Below are 25,044 nucleotides of genomic sequence, written 5' to 3'. Positions count from 1 at the left end.
TTTTCTTCTTGGTCATCATGGGGCTTACATATAACATCCTATTTTTAAAACAGTCCATTTTCATCTGATAACAACTTACTTTAAGGCACATATAAAAACTTTACACTTTTCTTCCCCCTCCCCACTTTATATTATTGTTGCCACAATTTAGATTTTTTGTATTTTTAATCCATTAACATATTTTTATATAGTTATTTAGTACATTGGTCTTTCAACTTTTATTCTAGAATTAAAAGTGATTTATAACAATTTATTGCTACAGGGCGAATATATTAATAGGCATATATTTACTGTAATGAGCCTTTAAAAACGTAACTAAAACCATCAAACCATCAAAACAGTGTAATTTAAAGTACACTGTTGTTTAGGATGAGGTTAGATTTTAAAATTGAGTTTATTTCAAGCTTTTTTAAATAAAGTATTAAAGAAATAATGGTACATATGGAACTTGGTTTGGATTTAAAAAAATATAAAGGTGGGAAATGTAGTACTGAATAGTGGTGGTGATGATAATGATAGTGAACTGTTTTGTAACACTTATTTTGTGACAAGCACTTTGTAATATTAAAGCATTTATTCTCATGACAAAAAGTAATTTAAATGCCACCATTACAATATTACAGTATTCTGTGTTTGTCTAGGTTTACACTTACCAGAAATTTGTATACTTTCATATGCTTTTGCATTGCTGTATAACCTCCTTTTGTTTCAACTTGAAGAACTCCCATTCATTACCTTTTCTTTTGAGGCACGTCTAATGGTAACAAAGTCCTTTGGCCTTTTTTGCTTTATAATAATGTCTTTATCTGTACTTAATTTTTAAAGGATGGTTTTGCTTTGTGGTTGACAGGTTTTCTTTACTTTTTTTTTTTTCACTTTGAATTTATCACCCTATTTCCTACTGCCTTCTAGCATGCAAGGGTTCTGCTGAGAAATTCTGTGATAATCTTGTGAAGCTTCCCTTGTATATGACAAGAAACTTTATAGGGAACATGTGCAGAACATGTGGTTTTGTTACATAGGTATGCATGTGCCATGGTGGTTTGCTGCACCCATCAACCCGTCACCTACATTAGATATTTCTCCTAATGTTATCCCTCCCCTAGCCCCCCACGCCTTGACAGGCCCCAGTGTGTGATGTTCACCTCCCTATGTCCATGTGTTCCCATTGTTCAACTCCTACTTATGAGTGAGAACATGTGGTGTTTGGTTTTCTGTTCTTGTGATAGTTTGCTGAGAATGATGGTCTCCAGCTTCATCTGTGTCCCTGCAAAGGACATAAACTCATCCTTTTTCATGGCTGCATAGTATTCCATGGTGTATATGTGCCACATTTTCTTAATCCAGTCTATTATTGATGGAGATTTGGGTTGGTTATAAGTCTTTGCTATTGTGAATAGTGCCACAATAAATATATGTGTGCATGTGTCTTTATAGTAGAGTAATTTATAATCCTTTGGGTATATACTCAGTAATGGGATTGCTGGATCAAATGATATTTCTATTTCTAGATCCTTGAGAAATCGCCACACTGACTTCCACAATGGTTGAACTAATTTACACTCCCACCAACAGTGTAAAAGCATTCCTATTTCTCCACATCCTCTCCAGCATCTGTTGTTTCCTGACTTTTTAATGATCGCCATCCTAACTGGCATGAGATGGTATCTCATTGTGGTTTTGATTTGCATTTCTCTGATGACCAGTGATGATGAGCATTTTTTCATGTGTCTGTTGGCTGCATAAATGTCTTCTTTTGAGAAGTGTCTGCTCATATCCTTCACCCACTTGTTGATGGGGTTGTTTTTTTCTTGTAAATTTGTTTGAGTTCTTTGTAGATTCTGGATATTAGCCCTTTGTCAGATGAGTAGATTGCAAAAATTTTCTCCCATTCTGTAGGTTGCCTGTTCACTCTGATGGTAGTTTCTTTTGCTGTGCAGAAGCTCTTTAGTTTAATTAGATCCCATTTGTCAATTTTGGCTTTTGTTGCCACTGCTTTTGGTGTTTTAGACATGAAGTCCTTTCCCATGCCTGCGTCCTGAATGGTATTGCCCAGGTTTTCTGCTAGGATTTTTATGGCCCTAGGTCTTAGTGGTTTAAGTCTTTGATCCATATTGAGTTGATTTTTGTATAAGGTGTAAGGAAGGGGTCCAGGTTCAGTTTTCTGCATATGGCTAGCCAGTTTTCCCAACAACATTTATTAAATAGGGAATCTTTTCACCATTTCTGGTTTGTGTCAGGTTTGTCAAAGATCAGATGGTTGTAGATGTGTGGTGTTATTTCTGCGGCCTCTGTTCTGTTCCATTGGTCTATATGTCTGTTTTGGTACCAACACCATGCTGTTTTGGTTACTGTAGCTTTTAATATAGTTTGAAGTCAGGTAGCATGATGCCTCCAGCTTTTTTCTTCTTGACCAGGATTGTCTGGGCATTGCAGGCTCTTTTTTGGTTCCATATGAAGTTTAAGGTAGTTTTTTCTAATTCTGTGAAGAAAGTCAATGGTAGCTTGATGGGGACAGCACTGAATCTGTAAATTACTCTGGGCAGTATGGCCATTTTCACGATATTGATTCTCCTTATCCCTGAGCATGGAATGTTTTTCCATTTGTTTGTGTCCTCTATTATTTCGTTGAGCAGTGGTTTGTAGTTCTTCTTGAAGAGGTTCTTCTCATTCCCTGTAAGTTGTATTCCTAGGTATTTTATTCTCTTAGTAGCAATTGTGAATGCGAGTTCACTCATGATTTGGCTCTCTGTTTGTCTGTTATTGGTGTATAGGAGCGCTTGTGATTTTTGCACATCGATTTTGTATCCTGAGACTTTGCTGAAGTTGCTTATCAGCTTAAGGAGATTTTGGGCTGAGACGATGGGGTTTTCTAGGTATACAATCATGTCATCTGCAAACAGAGACAATTTGACTTCCTCTCTTCCCATCTGAATACGCTTTCTTTCTTTCTCTTGCCTGATTACCCTGGCCAGAACTTCCGATACTATGTTGAATAGGAGTGGTGAGAGAGGGCTTCCTTGTCTTGTGCTGGTTTTCAAAGGGAATGTTTCCAGCTTTTACCCATTCAGTATGATATTGGATGTGGTTTTGTCATAAGTAGCTCTTATTATTTTGAGATACATTCCATTGGTACCCAGTTTATTGAGAGTTTTTAGTATGAAGGGGTGTTGAATTTCGTAAAAGGCCTTTTCTGCATCTATTGAGGTAATCATATGGTTTCTGTCATTGGTTCTGTTTATGTAATGGATTACATTTATTGATTTGCATATGTTGAACCTGCCTTGCATCCCAGGTATGAAGCACACTTGATCTTGGTGGATAAGCTTTTTGATGTGCTGCTAGATTTGGTTTGCCAGTATTTTGTTGAGGACTTTTGCACCTGTGTTCATAAGGGATATTTGCCTGAAATTTTCTTTTTTTTGTTGTGTCTCTGCCAGGTTTTGGTATCAGGATGATGCTGTTCTCTTTCTCTTGTTCATCTTGGATTTTCTTTTTGTGTATACTAGCCGACTTAATGGTGGTCCATAGTTTTTTGGTTTCTTCACTCTTTCTTTTCTTTTTCTCATTGCTTCTTTTTGAGTCCATGAATTCTTTCCTCTGTTTGGTCAACTCTGCTACTGCTGAACCACTTTATATCTTTAAGGTCCTAGGCTCAAAATATCTTTATGATTTCATGTTTTTGGTTGAAGTTATCATTTTTACATGCATTGTTTTCCTGAGCTCATCAATTGTCTTTATAATCATTATTTCGAATTTGTTGTCAGGTAATTTATATACCTCTGTTTTTAAGGATTGGTTTTGAGAGATTTATTTTTCCCTTGGATTGGGCCATTTTATATATATATATTTTTAACTGATCCTTATAAGTTTGTTTTGAAATCTGGGAGTGGTGGTCTATGCCTGTAGTCCCAACTTCTCAAGAGACTGAGGCAACAGGATCACCTGAGCCTAAGGGTTTGAGTCCAGCCTGGGCAACTTAGCTCCATCTCTGAAAATGTTGATATGCACACATTTGAAAAAAATATCTCTTCTCCCAGTCTTTATGGACTGGGTTTGTACAGGAGAAGACCTTTTACTAATTAGCCTAGCTACAAATCCCAAGGTCTTCTTAAAACTTTTCTGTGGGTATGTCTTCTTTGGTCTTGTGCATATATATTTTAATTAAAATAATTTTTTCTAGGAACTTGTAATTTCTTACTCCCTCTGATGTAAGTCTGCTCTTCCATGTAAACTTGGAAGCAGCAGTATGCCAACCAGCTCTTTTAAAATATTTTTTCTCAATAGCCCCTTGGAATCTAGTATATGCCAAGTTCCCGTAAGTGTCTTGGGTTGAGCTACATGGAAACTGATCTCTTAGGAAGCCCCCAAAATACTGGCCTTTTGAACATTTGCTACACCCTTCTTTTTCCCCCTGAAGGAGAAGTCACCACACTGTAAAAGCTTCTGTCTGCTGTACTGAAGATTCTATGGAGCAGTAACATGCTGAACAACTTTATTTGTCGTTGTTGTTCTCAGTGTTCTCCAGGCATCTAAAGAATGCTAGGTTATGTCAGTGCTTTGCAACAGGTTGAACAGAAGACAGTACCTTGTACAGCCCCCTCAAAAGTTCAGAACATTGGATGCATATTCTAACCTTCCACTATTCTTCCCCAGGAAAAAGCCAGGACCTGAGTTCCTCTGAATTGTGCATCTTTTTTTTCTGTGAAAGTGACTATAGCCAGAGGGTGCCACAAATTTTTCTTCTGTTTTGATACAACTAGTTAATGTTTGTTTTTGATGCAGAAGCCTCTTATCTGGTTTTTGGATGTCTCACAAAGGAAACTGGTCTATGGATTGTTGTTGAATGTGTGTCTTCATGAAAAGAAAGAGGGCCTGGAGCTTCCTATTTTAACCATCTCGCTGATGTAACTCGAAGTATCCCTTATAGCTGAAATAGTACTATCTGGTACAGAGACTTCAGTAAATTGGAAAACCAAATATCTCCAGAATAGGTTATAGTTTTATATAAAGACAAGAAATACAATAAAGTGTTGAAGCACGAGGTTAAACAAAAAATATTTTGATACTGAGATAGCTTGACTGGAAACTCTTCTCACAATTTTTTTTTTCATTTTGAACTTCCTGATGAATGCAGATAAATCTTTGGAGATTTAGCAACATGAGAAAAAAAATGTTTACCAGCTTCATAATCTCCAAGTAAATAATGTCATAGCATGTTAATTTAAAGTAAAAATGCAAATATGTTGTTCAAGTAGATAGCTTATTTTCCCCAGATAATGTACTTTGAAAAGATATTTTAGCTCAGCTGTATTTTAAGAATTTGTCTACGTGGGGAGATAATGCTCTTTCATAGATGCAACTGGTATGCTATCTGTTTTCATGCATTTTATGAAGTATCTTCTACCTTTGTTATCCTTCTTGGTCTTAAACTATCCTTTCATTGATTGTTCTATTATATTAGCACATCATAATCTTTTTATACACTAGGTTCATGATAAAATTTCTTGCCTGCACCAAATCTATATTATTCTGATTCTCTTTAGAATTCTTTTTTTTTACAGTGTCTATCTACATTTTTCCTTTAAACAAGCAACAAAACATTTAACACAGTACCTAAAACATTGTTAAGATGAAATAAATGCTAGAAAATTATTACTATTATTCTTTAAAACCCTATGTCTCAAACTGAAATCTCTTTTTCAGTCAGGTAACTCTGATTGTCTCAAAAACAGACCATACTGTCATTTCTGTAACATCTTTACAGGCTTTTCTCAAGCATATACCCTGTGAATCCTTTGAGTTCACCTCAAACTCCATCTCCTTCGTGAAGCTCCCCATTTTTATTCTGCCCATCAATGAACTTTACTTCCTCTGAATTGTATCATTCATAATGTGCTTCATGGACTTGAGGTATTATATAAAGTACCACATCAGATGTTATTATTCTTATTTCAACTATATTTTCTGATTCTATAGTGTAAAGATAATGTCTCATGCTTCTGTGACCCTCTCACATAAATCTATTCATAATTTAAAACACCTACATCAACTTATACAGACCATTCATTCATTTAATAAATATGTCATTCTTTTGTGTTAGGCAATGAATTGACAAACCACTACTTCTATAGTACTTAAAATTTTCCAGGGACTGTTTTAAGTGTTTTGTGTTTATTAGCTCACTTTACCCTTATAAAAACTTTATCAAATAGGTGCTATTTTTATTTTACCCAAATGTAAAGTTACAGAGAGCAAAACTGAGGTAATGACAGATTATATGACTTCTCTGCATTGTACACACAGAAAATATATTGTAGAGCCAGGGGTTAAGTTCGAGTAGGAGGTCTCTGCTCTTATTACTATTCTGTACTCTATCCTCAGGTGCTAAAAAATATTCATTTCATAAACTTATCTTTTCCCTCAAGGTGCTAATAATTCTATAAGGAGAGAGCCTTACATAACCAAGTAAGTGCAATACAAGTTCTTAAGTGGTAGTATAACAGTCTGTTTAAAGAACAGGAGGGAGTAATCAATTTTACATGTAGTGGTGTGGGTGGAGCAATGCATCTTGTAGGTAATCTGATAGTTGGGCTGAGACTTGAAAGGTGATTTAGTTACTTGGCAGTTTTATAAAGGCACATAGAAAAAGATGCAGCATGTTGTGTTTGGGAAAATTTCATGTCATTGGTATGTGGAGATAGTTCCTAGCCAATATTTATTCTCTATTTCTTATTCACTTTACAGCACGGATTTTGTTTGTAAGGGCAATGTAGTCAGCCTCCCTTTTGGCTGCTTTTGTCCATATGATTAATTTCTAGTGAATGAAGTGTAAAATAAAGGGTTGTGTAGGGCTCTGATAATACCTTAGAGCAATCAATGTCTAACTTAAAGCTTAAAAAAAAAAGAAAGATATATTTCTTTTTGGTTTAAGACACTGGTTGGGGATTCTTGTTATATGAAGTGGAACAAAATTCTAATTGATGTAGTGTGACTGAAACATATAGGGAAGGAGGAGTCCTTGTTTAGGAGAGAGATAATAACATGTATTGCACCCTGTGTTAAGGAATTTGTACCTTGTACATAACCAAAGTTTTTAATCCTGGCAACATTGTAATCATCAATGAAATTAAAACAAAAACATATACCTTCAAGGTCCCACTCCAAACCAATTAAATTAATCTCTAGGGAAGGAATTTTCAACCCTGGCTACCTATTTAAATTGTGATGCTCAGGACACACCCATACTTAGTATGTCGGAATCTCTGGAGGGTGGTGGGGGCATTCAGACATCACCGTTTCTAAAATTTTCCACAAGTTATTAAACTGTTCAGCCATGGGTGAGAGACACTGCTGTAAGCAATAGGTTTAAAGAGTCTCATAAGAATTTTAAGCAAGTTGAAGAGATTTAGTTTATGTCTTATCATTCTGGCTGCAGTGTAGAGGATTGACTGATTAAGAAAAAACATGTTTTAGAATGAAAAGTACTTCTTTTCCCTAAATTGTTCAAAAGAGGTTTCCTTAGAGTAATAAAATCTAAAAATTCTATCTTAGTATGAGTTGGTGAATTTTCCCAGGCATGAAGTGATTTATCTACATATATATATATATATATATATATATAAATTTTATTGTAAGTTGGCAAGTTATAATTGTATATATTTACAAAGTGCAAAGTGATATGATGTAATTTTTGAAAGACACTAGACAAGAAATCAAGGTAACCTAGGCTTATCTCAACCATATCAATTGGGGTGCTCATGACTGCAGCTAATGGCAAAACCTATTTAACAATGACTAACCAGTAAAGGTATTCATTATTTTATATTACAAATTCCATGGGTATGGTGCTTCAAGATTCAGTTTATTCATTCAATTAATGTTGCTGTTAAATCCATCCCTCTCACTCTTCTACCATTCATGGTGTAAGGCTAATGATTTGTTGTAGATCCAGGTGTTAGATGTAGATGGTGCTATCTGGGTGGAGAAAAAGAGAATAGCATGTCTTTTTGTTCTTTATTAAGAGAGTGGACAATTTCAGAGAAAGCCTTCTAGTCAATTTTCTCTAACATCTCATTGGTCATAATTACATTACATGACCATTCTTTAAGCAATCACACTCAAAAGGATGGATTGACACAATTGCCTGTTCTTGATTCTGTCTGCTGTCTGTGGATCTTATTGAAATTTGAGCTTAAAGTCAAGTCAAATTGTAGAAGACCCTCTAGAAAGGAATCTTTGCCATGATTGCTATATGGTTCATTTGGCCCTACCAAGTTTTGTGTTGAAATTTGATCCTCAGGTTGGAGGTGGGGCTTGGTAAAAGGAGTTTGTATCATGGATGTGGATTTGTCGTGAATGGTTTGGTAAGTTCTCGCCCATGAGAACTAGTTGTTGAAAAGAGCCTGGCACCTCTTATTCTATCATTACTTTCTCCATGTGACCCGCACACACCAGTTCCTCTTCACCTTCCACCATGAATGGAAGCAGACTGAGTCCTGCAACAGAAGCAGATGCTGGAGCCATGTTTCTTGTACAGCCTGCAGAGCCATGAAGCAAATAAAACCCTTTTCTTATAAATTGCCCAGCCTCAGGTTCCCCTTTATAATAACATAAACAGACTAAGACAAATATCTATGATAAAATATACAAGCAGAAAAAATCCCAACTACAGGAGATTTAAAACATAGAAAGACAATCATAACTGAAACTGTGAATGCCTCAAAAGCAACGAGTGCATGGAGCCTCTTTATCTAGAGTCAGCCAGATGGAGAGCATGTGGAGATAGAAAGCTGAGTGGCAGGGCTTCCAGTCCTAATGTTGTCAGCACAGTGTGGTAAAAGAGCACATAAGGGAGTCTATAAAGACCTACATTGACTCGGTTATTAATTATGCTGTGATCCTGAGCAAGTCACTTAACCTTTCTTGATCTCAGTTTCTTCAACATTATGATTATAATACTTTCCAGATTTCTTCATGTGATTTATTTGAAAACACATGAGGAAATTGGGTACTTACACAGTTTATCATCTGCAAATTACAATTATTATACAAGATTTTATGCATGTTTTATAGATAGATACCATAATAATAAGTACTTATAAGTAAAGGTTTATAACATCAGAATAGACTCAAACTTTTATCTTTTATGTAAGTTACATTGTTATTTTAACTTGAAAAGGAGAGAAATAGCATTTATGGATTGTCTGCTATGTGGTATAGCACTAGAAACTCCAGGTATGCCATTAGAAACTTTGCTTATTTCAAGTCTATGAAATGGATCTCTAATTTATGAAGTAATTTATTATCCTTTTTTTTAGAGATGATAGGAAAACTGAAACTCAAGTAAAGTTGCATAATTTGCTTAATATTACACAGATAATAAGTGGCAAAAGTTGGATTTAAACATAGCACTGACAAATTACATAGTTCATGTTCTTTTCATTTCTTTTTTTTTAAATGTGTGTGTTGGGGGAGATATCTTACTACTTTAACTTACTGCTCTTATACTTTTATATATTTACATTTTTTGTACAAGAAACTTTTTTAGAATGCTAAACATGGTGCTTAATATTAATAACACAAAGCCATCATTTCTTTTCTTATACCAGTATCTATACTATTTCCAGGTAAATATACAGCTCTAACACTCAGAAGAAGGGAAGGGAAGTTTGTAGGAACAGAAGAAGATAATTTTGAAACCTCAGTTTGCAGAAGAGGAGGGCAAGTTCAGTTAATGCAGCACACAATATTGGACAACACATATACGGATAGACAGAATCAATCCAGGCAGAGATAGGCAATACCAGGACATGAGGAGTAGGAAGGTTACAAGAAAAATTTTACCATTTTTCTTCTGTGCCCATCCCTTCTTCACCTCATATCCTTCCTACTCTTTGCTCTGATTTGCATGGTATGGAGATAATAAAGGGGTATAATTCTGTCAAAGCAGGCATGCCTTATGTGGACTGTGGAGACCAGAAGATTCTCAATGCATAGAACCATCTGTTATTCATGATGTGATTCCTCATCACCTGGCATAGTATCCAGCCCACAGGAGATGGAGAAGAAATAGTTGTTGAAATAAATCATTATTTCCTAATACTAGTGGTTCACATATAAATAAGCAGGTTGTGTATTAAATATAGAAATTGTGCAAAGAGTGTGTTATGACTACTGGGATTGAACAGAAACTAGTTAGTGGCTTCATGCTGAATCAGCATTTAGTAAATATATAATACGATCATTTCTCAGCTCTGGATTTGGGCTGATGCAAGATTACAATGATGAGTCAGAAAGACAAAATTGAACATCAGTAGGAGGAAGGGAAAGCAATAAATCTGAGATATCCAACATAGGCAAATAATTTCCATATGTGAGGCAAAAATTTTGTAAAGAGAGTCCTAAGATTATAGCAATAAGTGAGAAATTTCAAAATTTACAAGTGTGAAAGCTAAATTGTTGTAATAGCTTTGAATCTGGAAGCAATAAGAGAAAATAGACAAAATTTGATCCAGGTTTAGTTATTGGTAGGCCATAGTATTTTTTCTTGGTGTGATGATGTTTGTGTGAGAGCTTCTTGGAAAATATCTTAGAACCCTTTCTGTAAGACACAATTTTATCAACATTAAAGCAGACCTCTTTCTTTGGATTTTTGACATTTTCCATAGTTAGGAATTTTTTAAAAAATGTTAACATCAATTTAGTTCTTACTTCCTATAATATTTATAGGACATGAGCATTTAATGTTGTACATTTTCTTAAATGATTCATATTATTTAAAGAAAACAGTTTACACTTAGACCCTAAGTAAATGTTTGATTAACCCTTTTGGGCCCCAGTTTTTTCATCTAAAAATTAATGTTTTGACCTCAATTCTCTTAGGATTTGAAGCCTCTCTACAGTTGATAAAAGTAATGCATAATTGGATCATGATGCCCTAAGGTGTTCTGTTAAGTAATCCTTGTTGATTAAACTAGGTTGTTCTTTAACCCTAAATCCTAATCACACTAGAAATTATGTGAGTCTTGGCATAGAAAATGTTACAGGGGAACCACTATCCTAAATTTATATTTGCATAAAAAGCAGCCTTCTGTAAAAGACTCACATTAACAGAGAATAGAATTCAGATGCCATTTTTAAATTCAAAATTAATAAAAGATTCAGCAAAATGGGTAAAGAAGATTGAGCTCTGGCTCTATTTCCATAAGTTCATCTCTGACTTTTAGCTTAAGGTACAGCAACAAAACAGCAAATACTAAAGTAAATGAATTACTTACATCTTGAAGACAATGCAGCAGTTCTAGCAATTGTAGATGATTTGACAGTGTTGTGAGACCTCCTGTTGTCTGAGCATGAGCAGGCAGCTCCTGGTGAACACCTATAACCAGGAACTATAGATAGTTAGGGACATCAAGAGGACAGTTGTAGTTCTTCAGAGTGCACGTAGGTCCCACTACATAAGTTAGAGTACCTAGAACAAATAAAAATGTGGGATTTTGTTTCATAAACAGAAAAAAGTGTTTTCCTTTCTCTAGCAGTCTCTTGCTCTTTTGGGACTTCTCTCTCTCTCTCTTTTTAATTTGCAATTTGATGTGGTGTTCCTTTAGGCACAGGATACTACTCAGTGGGTGAGTGTAGACTCTCACAAGTGTCTGAGGCTCCCCCCTGACACTGTGTGGCGGGCCTTTCTGAGACTCATGTGGAAACACATGTGATTTGAAGCTCCTAGCTCCCAGCACATCCTCAATTGTCCCATTACAAAACTTACAAAACACAAATTCAAAGGTAAAAGTATTAAGAATCCCAAGACAGTAATCACAGGACATTAAAGCCCAAATATGAGGCCATCTCTCTATTTGGAGCCCTGTGTGACTGCACTTGTGGCATGCCCAATGAGGCCAGTTCTGCACACACACCCACAGTTGACAAATCCTAAGTGAGACAAAAAAGAACAGGAAGAAATGTCATTTGTAACATGGTCACCTGTAACATGGTCACCTGTAGAACGGCTTCATAAACATGCCTGCAATACTCATCTGGGGAATCCCAAAACATTTTGGAGGATTTTGATACGGCAGGAATGGAACTTCTAAAAATGAATTACTGTGTTCTGGTTACCACTGGGAAATAACTCAAGAACTTCAAAATTGTGCTTGGAAACAAATAAAATATAAATTGAAGCTAAGGTCAGAATTTATTTATCTGAAGAAACAACACTGATATCCAAAAATTAAAAAAATATTATTACTAAATAAAGATATTTGTTATCTTAGAAAGTATTTGATATTCAAAAATTTCACAAAGTGTATTGCGGTTTTTTTCTGCTGGATCACTTTTCTCCTAAACAGTATTGATATGGTTTGTCTCTGTGTCCCCACCCAAATCTCATCTCGAATTGTAATCCTCATGTGTCCCGGGAGGGAAGTGATTGGATTATGGGGGTGGTTTCCTCCATGCTGTTCTCGTGATAGTAACTGAATCTCACGAGATCTGATGATTTTGAAAGTGGTGGTTTTTCCTGTGCTCTCTCTTATTCTCCCCTGAGGTCTTGTGAAGAAGGTTCCTGCTTCCCCTTCCGCCATGATTGTAAGTTTCCTGAGGCCTCCCCAGCCATATGGAATTGTGAGTCAATTAAACATCTTTCCTTCATAAATTACCTAGTATCAGGGAAGTTTTTTATAGCACTGTGAAAACAAACTATTACAGCATAAAAATTGGAAACGACATGAGAAATCTTAGAGTGGGGTTTAGAAAGTAATGCTACATTTTAAATGTCTCCCCTTATCACCAACTAAAATGTTAAATATTTCTATAGTTATTACTGTTATTTTAATGAAATGAAAGGGGAAGTAAAGAATAAGTAGTAAGTTTTACATTTTTTTTTTTTTTTTGAGACAGAGTCTCGCTCTGTTGCCCAGGCTGGAGTGTGGTGGCACAATCTCGGCTCACTGCAAGCTCTGCCTCCTGGGTTCGTGCCATACTCCTGCCTCACCCTCCCAAGTAGCTGGGACAACAGGCGCCTGCCACTATGCCCGGCTAAATTTTTGTATTTTTAGTAGAGACGGGGTTTTACCATGTTAGTAAAAGTCCTGGGATTACAGGCGTGAGCCACCGTGCCTGTCCAGTTTTACATTTTTATATTATTTAAATTTTACTGCATTTAAGATAACATTTTGTTTACAATTCAGCTACTTTTTCCCCATTCTTTAAGAGTGTGTGTGTGTGTGTGTGTGTGTGTGTGTGTACTTACACAGTTGGCCCTCCATATCTGCAGGTTCCACATTTGTTGATTCAACCAACCATGGATCAAAAATATTTGGAAAAAATTTGCATCTGTTCTGAACACATACAGACTTTTTTTTTAACTTATCATTCCTTAAGCAATACACTGTAACACCTATTTAAATAGTATTTACACTGCTTTAGGTATTATAAGTAATCTATTATAATTTAAAGTATACAAGAAGATGTGCACAGGTTATATGCAAATACTATGCCATTTTATATTAGCAACTTGAGCATTCTTGGATTTTGATAACTGCAGAAGTTCCTGGAAACGATTCCCGACAGATACAGAGGGATGACTGTAAATATATGTGTGTATGCATATTTATTTATTTGTTTTATATCTTAAATCATTTTCAACAATCTCTTTAGTTCATTCATTTGAGGCACTATTTTCATGTCTGTGTGTATGTGGTAAATATCCTCCCTTTAAATTATCATTGTAAAATTGATTATTTCTGTTTTTTGTATTAAAGAGAAAAAATTTTTCAAATACTTACAATTTTTAAAGAATCAGCTCATATACAAATTTGAATTGTATTAATCTTTTTTTTGTACATTATCTGGCTAATGCTCATTTTAATTAAGATGTGCACAATACAAGATCAGATGAGGATATAAAAAAAGAAATGTTAGTACTTGCTTTCTTCTAAAATAGGGTGTTAAAAGAGATGGTGAATAACAAATATCTATTATGTTGCTGTTGATCAAACTGTTTAATTTAGAAACTGTTTTGTCAGACTACTTAGAACTTTTCCATGCTATTAGCCTAATAACTTTTATCCTTTTTAAACTTTCAAAATTTCTCATAGCAAGCAGCTTACTTTGGATGGCTTCTTTGCATTTCCAATTAATAATTATTAATTTAATTAATAACTCTTTTTTAAGAAGAATCAAGTATTAAATTGCAAACAAATCATTTAAAAAAATAAAGATACATGACATACAAGTACTACTTCTATGTAATAAGACAAAAAAAGAAAAGGAAAATTGGAGGCAAGGATGCTTTACTCTTGGGCTGTATTAGTTTTACATTGCTTCATAACATATTACTACAAATTTAGCTGCTTAAAACAGTACCTATTTATTCTCTGTCAGTTCTGTAGTTCAGAAATTCAGACATGGCATGACTACTAACTCTTCTGCTTAATTTCTTACAAGGCTGAAATTAAGGTGTCAATGCTGTGTTCTCATCTGGAGCTCAAAGTCGTCTTCCAAACTCAGGTGAATGTGGCAGACTTAATTTCCTTGCTGTGTAGACAGAGGTGCCTGTTTCCTTTCTGGATGTCAGCTGTGGGCCTTATAAGGTCCTTGAGGCTGCTCCACATTCCTTGCCATGTGACCCTCTTCATCTTCACAGCCAAGAAGAGAGAGCTTGTCATGTCAAATCTCTCTTATGCTTCAAATCTAACTTCTAGAAGGTCCCAGTTCCTCTTAAAAGTTCACCTAAGTCAAATCCATCCAGGATTTTAAAGTGAATTATCTTGAGAACTTAATCGCCTTGGCAAAAATCCCTTCACAGCAGCATCTACATTAGTGTATGATTCAATAGCCAGTAGAAGGTAAATTATACCAGGTGTAGGCGATTTGGGGGTTATCTTAGGATTCTATCTATCACAAGGACTCTGAAAAATATGCACAGATTTTATGCATTTTAAGGCATTTCTTGTCTGTGCCCAACCTTTCCTTCTTTTTTTATATACCACAAATCTCTATGCAAACTAATGCTATCCAAACTAGTTTAATTGCCTGTAAAAAGCCTTATGTTTTTCTACATTTGCCTTTTGCACATTCAATTTAATCTGCCAAAAGAACCTGATTTTCTTTTGTCTTGGTCTTTTCATCTTCTGTTTTTCATAAGGCATAAGTTCAAATTCTGACAAATCTATAATTTATTCCCTTAACATTTCCACCTAAAATGGTTATTTTTCTATTTAATTTATCTATGCGCATCACTCACTTTTAGATTTTTGCCAATATAGGTCAAGTATTTCAGAAGCAGTGTACTTTACTTTTCTAAGATAAAGAAAGGATTTGGAGGTCACTCTAGTGCTATATATTGTACATAAGTGTTATTTAATAAGAGGAAAGTTTTCAGTAGAGGATTAAAGGGACTCAAGTTAGCTTAAGTAAGGCATTAAAATACCTTCTTGTTATGACATTTTTCTTTGTTCTGATTCAAAAATACGTGACTTTTAAATATTAATTAACAACTATTTACTCATCTGTTTAGTATTTACATCTTAATTATCAAGCAAAACCGTAGCAATTATGCATATCATTAAATACATAGAAGATTAATATTTTGGGTTTAGTACTCTTTTTTGTCACTATAATGAATTGCTCACATTTAAGTTTCTCTGCTTATTGGACATAGTATATACTGGAGAGGTCTCTTTGGAGTTAGATCTAGGATTATATCATGGTTTAACATGTGACCTGGGCAAGTGATACAAAATGTATGAGACTCCATTCATTTGTAAAAGGGAGATAATAAATATATCTCAAAGGATTACTTTGAAGATTTGTGTGATATTTTCAAAGTGTGTGGAACAAGTAAGCAATAATTGTTTTCTTGTTTTCTTTCCTCCTTTTCACATTCCCATTAACTTGTAAAGATATGCATTTCACATTGAGTATTGAAACTTCTATGTGGCAATATGGGAAAATATTACATGTTACCCTACTCCAAATAATATTGAAATGTGACATAGAAAAACGTATTCTGAAAGAATATAAAAGCAACAAAACAGTCTATTCTAAATCCCCTAAAAGAGATGTAATCTGATTGAAGGTACTAGTACACTAAACAAATAACACAGTAGAAGACTAACAAACCAAAAATCCAAACTGAGGTGAGGGGTTTGGCTAACTGTAGCATCTTGTTCTTGAAGATTTATGTTTGAAGATATGCTTAAAATTGCAGTTTCTGCTTTAGTAAAAAACAAGGGAGAAAATACTGACTTAGAATAGTTTACACTGGTACATGTTTATTTCCTTTTCAATACTTTAAATATGTTGTAGTAATATAAACATGCTTGTTCTGTGAGTATAGATACTCTTCTCCACATGATAGTTTATTTTTTCTTGTAAGTTTATTCATTTTAATATGATATAAACAATCAGATTTTGTATGCTTGGTTAATGTGAGTCACCCTCTGAAAGACAGATTTGTTTTTACAGAGTAATGAATTTAGGTATTCAAGATTGCAAGACTGAATTCCAAACCCTTTTGTAGACTTCATTTTGGCCTAATGATGGAACACAGAAGTGTACAAGTGAGAATGAAGGGACAAAATTTGTTTTTTTATTCTATCATATGATCACTATATCCAAAAATGACGATATAAGTTTGGTGCTTTCTACAGAGGCGGAGTAAGGCACTTCTTTATACAGTTTAAAGCATTTTTTAAAAGTTACCTACTGTGTTTTAAAACTTAAGTACATTTAAAGTTTTTGTTAAGGTATTTTAAAGTATGATTAATCATTAAAGTGCTAGCAAGATAACCAGAGTTATGTACTATTTTGCCTGTAGGAGGAAACCATCTTTCTCTTCTGATCTGTTTGTTCTATAAGAAGTACTTTATAAGAGCACAGAAAGAGAGATTGTAGAAAAATCTTGAAAAATTGTTAGAAATGAATAATAATGTGTACAAAAAATGATTAATGATTAATGAATGCTGGGATTCTAAAAAGAGCTCTGGGAACAACACGGTGAACAAGAGGAACAGGACAAAGGACATAAGTAGGATAAGAAAAATGCCTACAGGGATGTGAAGAGGCTTCAACATCCATGTCTTTCTCAACACAAAGATAGAGACAAACCATGAGCTATACATTTTAAACTAAGTTTAAAGTTTTTATTGAAGTCAACAAAGTATGTATGGAATGCATATTATATATTAGAAACTATGCTAATTTATGTCAATTAAAAATGAATAAAACAGTATCCCAGTATTCTAGTGGTTTACAATAGGGATAAAATTTATATGGTGATTAAAAATTACAGTTCAGGGTTATAAGGCATAATAAAATGTGATAATAGTAGCAAGGTCAGCGTACTAGGAGATCATGAAGCAGGAGCTAAAACCTACCCTCTGGGGCAGACAAGTAAAGATTCACAAAATATTAAAACCACAGCTTAAATTTGAAAATAACTTGGAGTTCACAAACTAGATAAGGCAAGAAGGACAGATTACCTGGGAGGGTAATCTGGCTTCAACATCTGTTATCGCCTCAGGAGCTGACTCTGGTCCAAATGACCTGGCTGCTACTATCTCCCTGTTTGATCTGACCACTTCATGTGCATCCATCTTGAACTTGACACATCAGTCAAACAGTGTGACCTTTCTTAATTAAGGCATACTATTCTTTGACTACATTGTCTAAATTTTTAGACTATATTATCCTAAATTTTGGTTTTTATGCCTTAGTAGAAATGCTTAGTTCCTTCATAATAGTAGATTAATTCATGCAGAAATTATTCATTAAATCACAGAATCCATAAACAGACAAAATATATTTAAAATGTAAGCTTACCAATTCTCACTCTTCCTGTTTTGCAGAACTTACATTGCTTTATAGCATATCTGGTTTTCATTTCTAAATGACTGTGTGACCACTACAATTTTTTTTAATGTCAGGAGATATTTCTACACATTTATAAGTTTAAGTAATGTAGTGCCATTTATCAGGAAAACTATAGAGCCATGATGCGTATCAGTTACTTAAAAATATATTGATTCCAATTTGTAAAGAGATTGACAAAACCAAATGCCTTTGTCCTACCAGCAGTTACAACTGCTTATGTGCCACTTGCATTTTATTTACAAAATTGAGATTACATATATGTAGCAGAAATACTTAAGGTAAATTTCTCCTTTCTCCTCCTTGGACTTTCCGTAAATAGGTGCATAGTATTTCTTTGTAGTTTTCTGAAACTATATGAATTATAAACTTGATAAATAGTTCATTTGCATATGTCTATCTCTCATAAATTGTAGGCAGTGTCGATTCTTTTACAACTTTGTAGGTGCCTCTTATTGCTTCACTATTCATTTAAAGGAATTTTTTATAAAGAGAGAGATTACATTTAGAATACAATTGCCCTACTTGAATAAATACATGGAAAATACGTTTATTTCTGAACCAAGTATAACAGTTATTTTGAAGTATTTTGCTACTCTGAAAAGTTGATAAAATCTTAAAATTAAAAGTTATTTGTGCACAATAGATTTCTGATTATTTTCCTTCAAATGAAACCAAAATAACAACTGGAAAAGATAGGTCAATAGTTTTTATTCAGAAAAAAGAGACTATTATAATTAAGGTTAATAGGTATCAAATAGAGCTCATTTTGTGCCAGGCAATTTTCTAAGAATTTTACATTAAGACACACATGCAATATTTGGATCCTCTTTTCACAGAAGAGACACAGAGGCATAGATAATTAATGAACTCATAGATTTTGCACAACTAATAACAAACAGGGGCTCTTGAACTCAGGCAGTCTGCTTCTAGACCCCAAGTTCTTAATCACTGTACTTTCATACCTCTTAGGTATAATCAGATCTGCTTTTGTGGAAGAAGTACATTCTACTCCTATCTATAATTTTCAACCATGAATCAGGAAATGTCCCCGTTCAGAACATACAAGCAACATTACTAAAGCAACTACCCTTGGCAGAAATTTGTCTTACAGCCTATAAATGATAAAAAGAGTTATTATATTTACCAAAAAGATCTTGGAAATCTTTTAGTGCAATTCTTGACCTAGGCTTTTTGATACGGAAGCAGGTAATACTATTAAAGAATCTGAAAATATTTGTAAATACATTATAGGTTACCAACATGTTAAATATGGCATTTACTAGTACTAATTAGTTCTGTGTTAGCACTTTGTGATGTCGTGCTCCCTGAGCCCTGGACTATCTCAAGTGAAAGGTGGCTAGTTCCATTAGATTTTGCTGGTGAACTGTGAGTGTACATTATTATATTTTTCTATGTATTGTACTTTAAATAAAATAAACTTTATAAAAGTAATTATTTATATTTTTCCTTTGTGTTTATTGCAAATGTTTATAAATTTTATCCCTCTGCTAATTTTCTTATTATTTTTTCAAACCTGTACTCTCCAAGCATCTGTCTGAATATTTACTTAAGCCAAGGCAACACTAGCAGCTTTTGAGAAGTCTCATATGTGATATAGAATAAACACTATTGTGTAATGGAAAGACAGGATTTGGAGAATATAATCCTGGTCTATGATTTATTAGCTAGTGGTCTTGGACAAGTTATCTTACCTCTCGAAGCCTCAGGTTTTCACCAATAGAAGTGGAATTAACAATTATTTTCAATATTTTTCTCAATAAGAAAAGGTATTTAAAGCCTGGCACAGTTTAATCAATTATAATATCAATTCTCTCCTGCACAGTTCATATTTCTAAGGAATCATTTTCATTTTTATAAATAACTTCCACCCTTTATCAATACAAATCAGGCTTAAAGAATTTCAGGGCTCCAAGGCAAAAGAAAACCTAGAAATTATTTATCTTGGCTTATTTCATATTCAGAGAGTGGTAATTGTTAGAACATTAAGTCAAAATCTTCCCCTCTCTCCAATTTGTATCCCTGGATCCAATATGTGACCTCTGGGGCCAAGACAAAACAGATAAAATCATTTCCAATTATATCTAACCTGCCTTTACTGTTAATGTTTCAAATAGAAATTTTAAGAACTTGAAATCTATATTTTATTTTAATAGTAATAGTGTTCCATAATATGCAAAAATAATAAAAACTACAATTTATGCATGTTTCTCTGTAAAAGCTCATTGCAAATATTGTTATTAATGCCATGAATGAATATCATTGATAGTCATTTTTTGAGAACAAGTGCCTTACTAACATGGGTGAAAGAGAGATTTAGTGACTAATAAGTCAAGGATTAGTAGTACACAACCAAAATAGGAAATGAGTTATTTGATCGATCTTGGAATTTTCCCTTTTCCTCCCACTCCATCTTTATGCTGATGGTGAACGTGCAGCTTACACTACAAAAGAAAGTGCGGACTTGATAAAGGAGTCTTAGTATTATCACTTAAAAAGAAATTGTTATCTTCTTAAAGAGAATACAGAGATCTTTGTAGAAATTGTAAGAATTCTTTTCCCATACTTCCATTTGTTTGATTCCTTCATTTTCATGACTGACAGGAAGCTGTTTACCTTGTCACTGTTGTTGTTAAGATCTTGTATTAAGAACAAAACTGGAGGCATCACGCTACCTGACTTCAAACTATACTACAAGGCATACAGTAATCAAAACAGCATGGTACTGGTACCAAAACAGAGATATAGACCAATGGAACAGAACAGAGCCCTCAGAAATAATACCACACATCTACAACCATCTGATCTTTGACAAACCTGACAAAAACAAGAAATAGGGAAAGGATTCCCTATTTAACAAATGGTGCTGGGAAAACTGGCTAGCCATATGTAGAAAGCTGAAACTGGATCCCTTCTTTACATCTTATGAAAAAATTAATTCAAGATTGATAAAAAACTTAAATGTTAGATCTAAAACCATAAAAACCCTGGAAGAAAACTTAGGCAATACCATTCAGGACATAGGCATGGGCAAGGACTTCATGTCTAAAACACCAAAAGCAATGGCAACAAAAGCCAAAATTGACAAATGGGATCTAATTAAACTAAAGAACTTTTGCACAGCAAAAGAAACTACCATCAGAGTGAACAGGCAACCCACAGAATGGGAGAAAATTTTTGCAATCTACTCATCTGACAAAGGGCTAATGTCCAGAATTTACAAAGAACTCAAACAAATTTACAAGAAAAGAACAAACAACCCCATCAACAAGTGGGCGAAGGAGATGATCAGACAATTCTCAAAAGAAGACATTTATGCAGCCAACAGACACATGAAAAAATGCTCATCATCACTGGCCATCAGAGAAATGCAAATCAAAACCCCAATGAGATACCATCTCACACCAGTTAGAATGGTGATCATTAATATTCAGGGAACAACAGGTGCTGGAGAGGATGTGGAGAAATAGGAACACTTTTACACTGTTGGTGGGACTGTAAACTAGTTCAACCGTTGTGGAAGACAGTGTGGCGATTCCTCAGGGATCTAGAACTAGGAATACCATTTGACCCAGCCATCCCATTACTGGGTATATACCCAAAGGATTATAAATCACGCTGTTATAAAGGCACACATGCACACGTATGTTTACTGAGGCACTATTCACAATAGCAAAGACTTGGAACCAACCCAAATGTCCATCAATGATAGACTGGATTAAGAAAATGTGGCACATATACACCGTGGAATACTATGCAGCCATAAAAAGGATGAGTTCATGTCCTTTGTAGGGACATGGATGAAGCTGGAAACCATCATTCTCAGCAAACTATCGCAAGGACAAAAAACCAAACACTGCATGTTCTCACTCATAGGTGGGAATTGAACAATGAGAACACTTGGACACAGGAATGGAACATCACACACTGGGTCCTGTTGTGGGGTGGGGGTAGTGGGGAGGGATAGCATTAGGATATATACCTAATGTAAATGATAAGTTAATGGGTGTAGCACACCAACATGGCACATGTATACATATGTAACTAGCCTGCACATTGTGCACATGTACCCTAGAACTTAAAGTATAATTTAAAAAAAAAAAAAAAGGAACAAAGGATTCCCACTATGCAGATGTAAGGAAATAGTACACTGGAAGATTCACATTAGATCAGGCTTATCTGGATCCTGTGGCTGATTTGAAGCCATCAGGACTTGGCTGTCTCAGTTTCTTGGCTCTGTTTTACCCTGTGCCCCATCATGCAGGTGGGGGGATGTTGCAGTGAGTTATTAACAGCTCCAGGTTTTCACTCTGTCCTCTCAAGCAATAAACTAAAATATGTCTTTTTATTGCAATTGGCAGAGTGCTATGAAATAGGTCACATGGGGTCCTCGGCAGCAGCTTCTTGCCCTGGTTAAGGGATAGGGGATAAAATGTTCCGATTAGGTTTTTGGGTCACATGCCTACTTCCCAAGGCCAAGGGTGGGATCATTTCACGCAAACTACCTGGCCTGAGAATGAGTTAGAATGTTTCTTTCCTCAAGGAAAATGAGAGTGCTCTTATCAGATCATGAAGGAATTAAGGTAAGGAGTAGGAAAAATGTCCATTACAACTACCTTTATTGAGTCGTTAATAAGAGCATGATGCTTGGAGAACATATAAAACTTGCTTAAAGTCACACCACCAGCAATTGCTAGAATCCTCTTCCCTCATCCCTTCTCCTTGCTCTTCAGTCCAATGTTGCCTGTACAGCCGCCCCACCACTTGTGATGAAGTTCTTTTTTTTTAATTAAGTTTTTTCAAATGCTCAGATACCACAAAAATGTGAACATAGAAAATAAATAATCAGACTTCCACTTACAAGTAGAGTTTAGTAGCCAGCAAAAGAAAATCACTTCCAAAGCAACAACTAGGAAAAACCAAAGATGAATTAAAAATTAGTGTGTTTTAAAACACTGGAAGTGAAGAATACCAGATGAATGAAAATAGAGAGAAAAATGCCCTTTTAAAAGTAAGCTTGAGAATGTCAGACATTTTCTGTCCTTTGAGTCATTGGGTTGCAGGCTGAGCATCAGGCTTTGTCTAGGTAAAGATAGTTTGTGGTGGAGAAATCCTATAAATTTGTGATGGCTATAGGGGCTGATGTGCTGGATTATAATCTAGAGGAATTTCAGGTTTATGCTGTTTTTTTTTTTTTTCTCTGTTCTTTTCTAAGTGCTGAGATGATGATATGGAAGGCTGGAGGATTCAGCTGGACAATGAAACTGAGTTCTCCCAGTCCGATGGTGTTTAGGAGACACAGTTCCATGAAGGACAGGACCTAAAACAAACATAAAAACACATCTTGTCCTGGAGACATTAGAAAAGATAAGTGGGCTAAATGTACCTAAAACTGAAACCTAGACCTGATCTTGATCAATGTCTGATTGGATTGAGGTGATAGCTGCTCTGTCATCTAACAGGGAAGAAAGAAAATCCTCTGAGGAGGGTCATCTGAGGAGGGCATCATCTTCAGTTTTCACGTTTCTTTTGTGTACAATGTCCAGCAAAGAATCTTATATTTGAATATATAACTTTATATATTATAAAAGATTATATTTGATATTGTACAATAAATACAATATTATATAATTATATAAGTAAAATATAATATAGTATAGAACATATATAATGTATATAATTGAAAGAATTAAGACAATGTTGTTTTCTTCCTTCTTCATTGACTAACTTTTCTAAGTTTCTTTCCTTGATTCCATCCTCCTGTCTTCTCAACCACTGAATATTGAAGTGCCAAACTCCCAACTTTCACTCCTCTAACCTGTCTGCTTTATTCTTCACACTCACTCTTTTGGTGATCTCATCCATTCCCATGGCATTACATACCATCCATAAATTAATCATGTTCAAGTTTACATGTGTGTATATGTGTGTATACACATACACATATATATCTGTGAACTCCACACTTGCATAGTAATGGTCTACTCAAGTTTACCATTTAGATAGCTACAGGCAAATCAACTTAATGCTTTCCTAACTAGACTCCCAATTTCCAGGCAAAACTTGTTTTTCCTACAGTTTTTATTTCGGGAAATGCAATTCCCATTTTTCAGATACCAAGATAAAAAACCTTGGAGTCAGCATTCACACATTTCTTTCTCTTACACCAAACCTAATCTAACATCAAATCCTATTTTTATATGCTAAAAATATGGTCACTTATTTCATCCGCCCTGTTCAAACCATAATTATCTCTCATTTAGAGGCTTGTTATAGCTGCAACTGGACTGCCAGGTTACAACCTTGTTTTCCAAAAGGCTATTCTTGACATAGGGCCCAGAATGAGAAATTTTCCACAATGCTGCTTTAAATCCCACAGTAACTTCCCATCTTACTCAAAGGGAAGCTAACATCCTCACTATGCTCCACAAAGCCCTATACAATCTGTTTCTCTGTTACCTCTCTGAACTCATTGACTGTGATTGCCTCAACCATTTGCTACAGACCATGTCTATGTGCTTTGACACTTGCTGCTGCCTGTGTCTGAAACACTCATCTCACAAAAACCAGTATGGACATCTCCCCCATGTCTTTCAGGTTGTTAATCAAATGCTATATAAATGAAGCCTTTTATTATCATCATATATAAAAATGACACTCCCTATTTTATACTCTATTACTCCTTTGTGCTATTTCCTCCTAAAACCAAACGCCACCTCTCTCGCTCTCTCTTTCTCCCTATTTTTCTCTCTCTCCCTCTCACACACACACACAGATACACACACACTCTCACACAGATTTTACTTATGTATTTGTCTGTTGTTTTTTTACCATTACTAAAACATGACCACAGCAAGTGCAGGAAATTTTTGTTCTCCTTTATCTATTGCTATATGCCAATCACTCAGAACATGGACTGGCCACATAGTAGGTACTAAAAAAAAATAGTTGAATAAACAAATATGAATGTGATTAACATTTCCTTAGCAAGCTTTGTTTATATAATCTGATTTTCTCTTTATTGAAAAAATGTTCATAATCTTGAGTTATTCAGTAACAACTTGAAGAGTATTGAATTTATTTCAGGGTAAAATAAAGACATTATTTAAATCATACTTTTGAATTGTTTGTATAATGTACCTTTGGGAA

General features: G+C 34.8%; 1 long non-coding RNA gene across 1 annotated transcript in view; it reads left to right on the top strand.

Annotated features, from left to right (window-relative positions):
• LOC105370217 (uncharacterized) overlaps positions 1-23,440 on the top strand; it is a 62,771-nt gene extending 39,331 nt beyond the window's left edge. Inside the window, exon 3 of the long non-coding RNA XR_941983.1 lies at positions 23,111-23,440. This is a non-coding gene — a long non-coding RNA (uncharacterized LOC105370217). The remainder of the gene's footprint in view (positions 1-23,110) is intronic.
• Positions 23,441-25,044: the final 1,604 nt, after the last annotated feature.

The sequence above is a fragment of the Homo sapiens genome, chromosome 13 (assembly GCF_000001405.40).
Source record: "Homo sapiens chromosome 13, GRCh38.p14 Primary Assembly".
Taxonomy (NCBI): Eukaryota; Metazoa; Chordata; class Mammalia; order Primates; family Hominidae; genus Homo; species Homo sapiens.
Note: the sequence above shows the minus strand (reverse complement) of the source record. Positions and strands in the feature narration are given on the sequence as shown.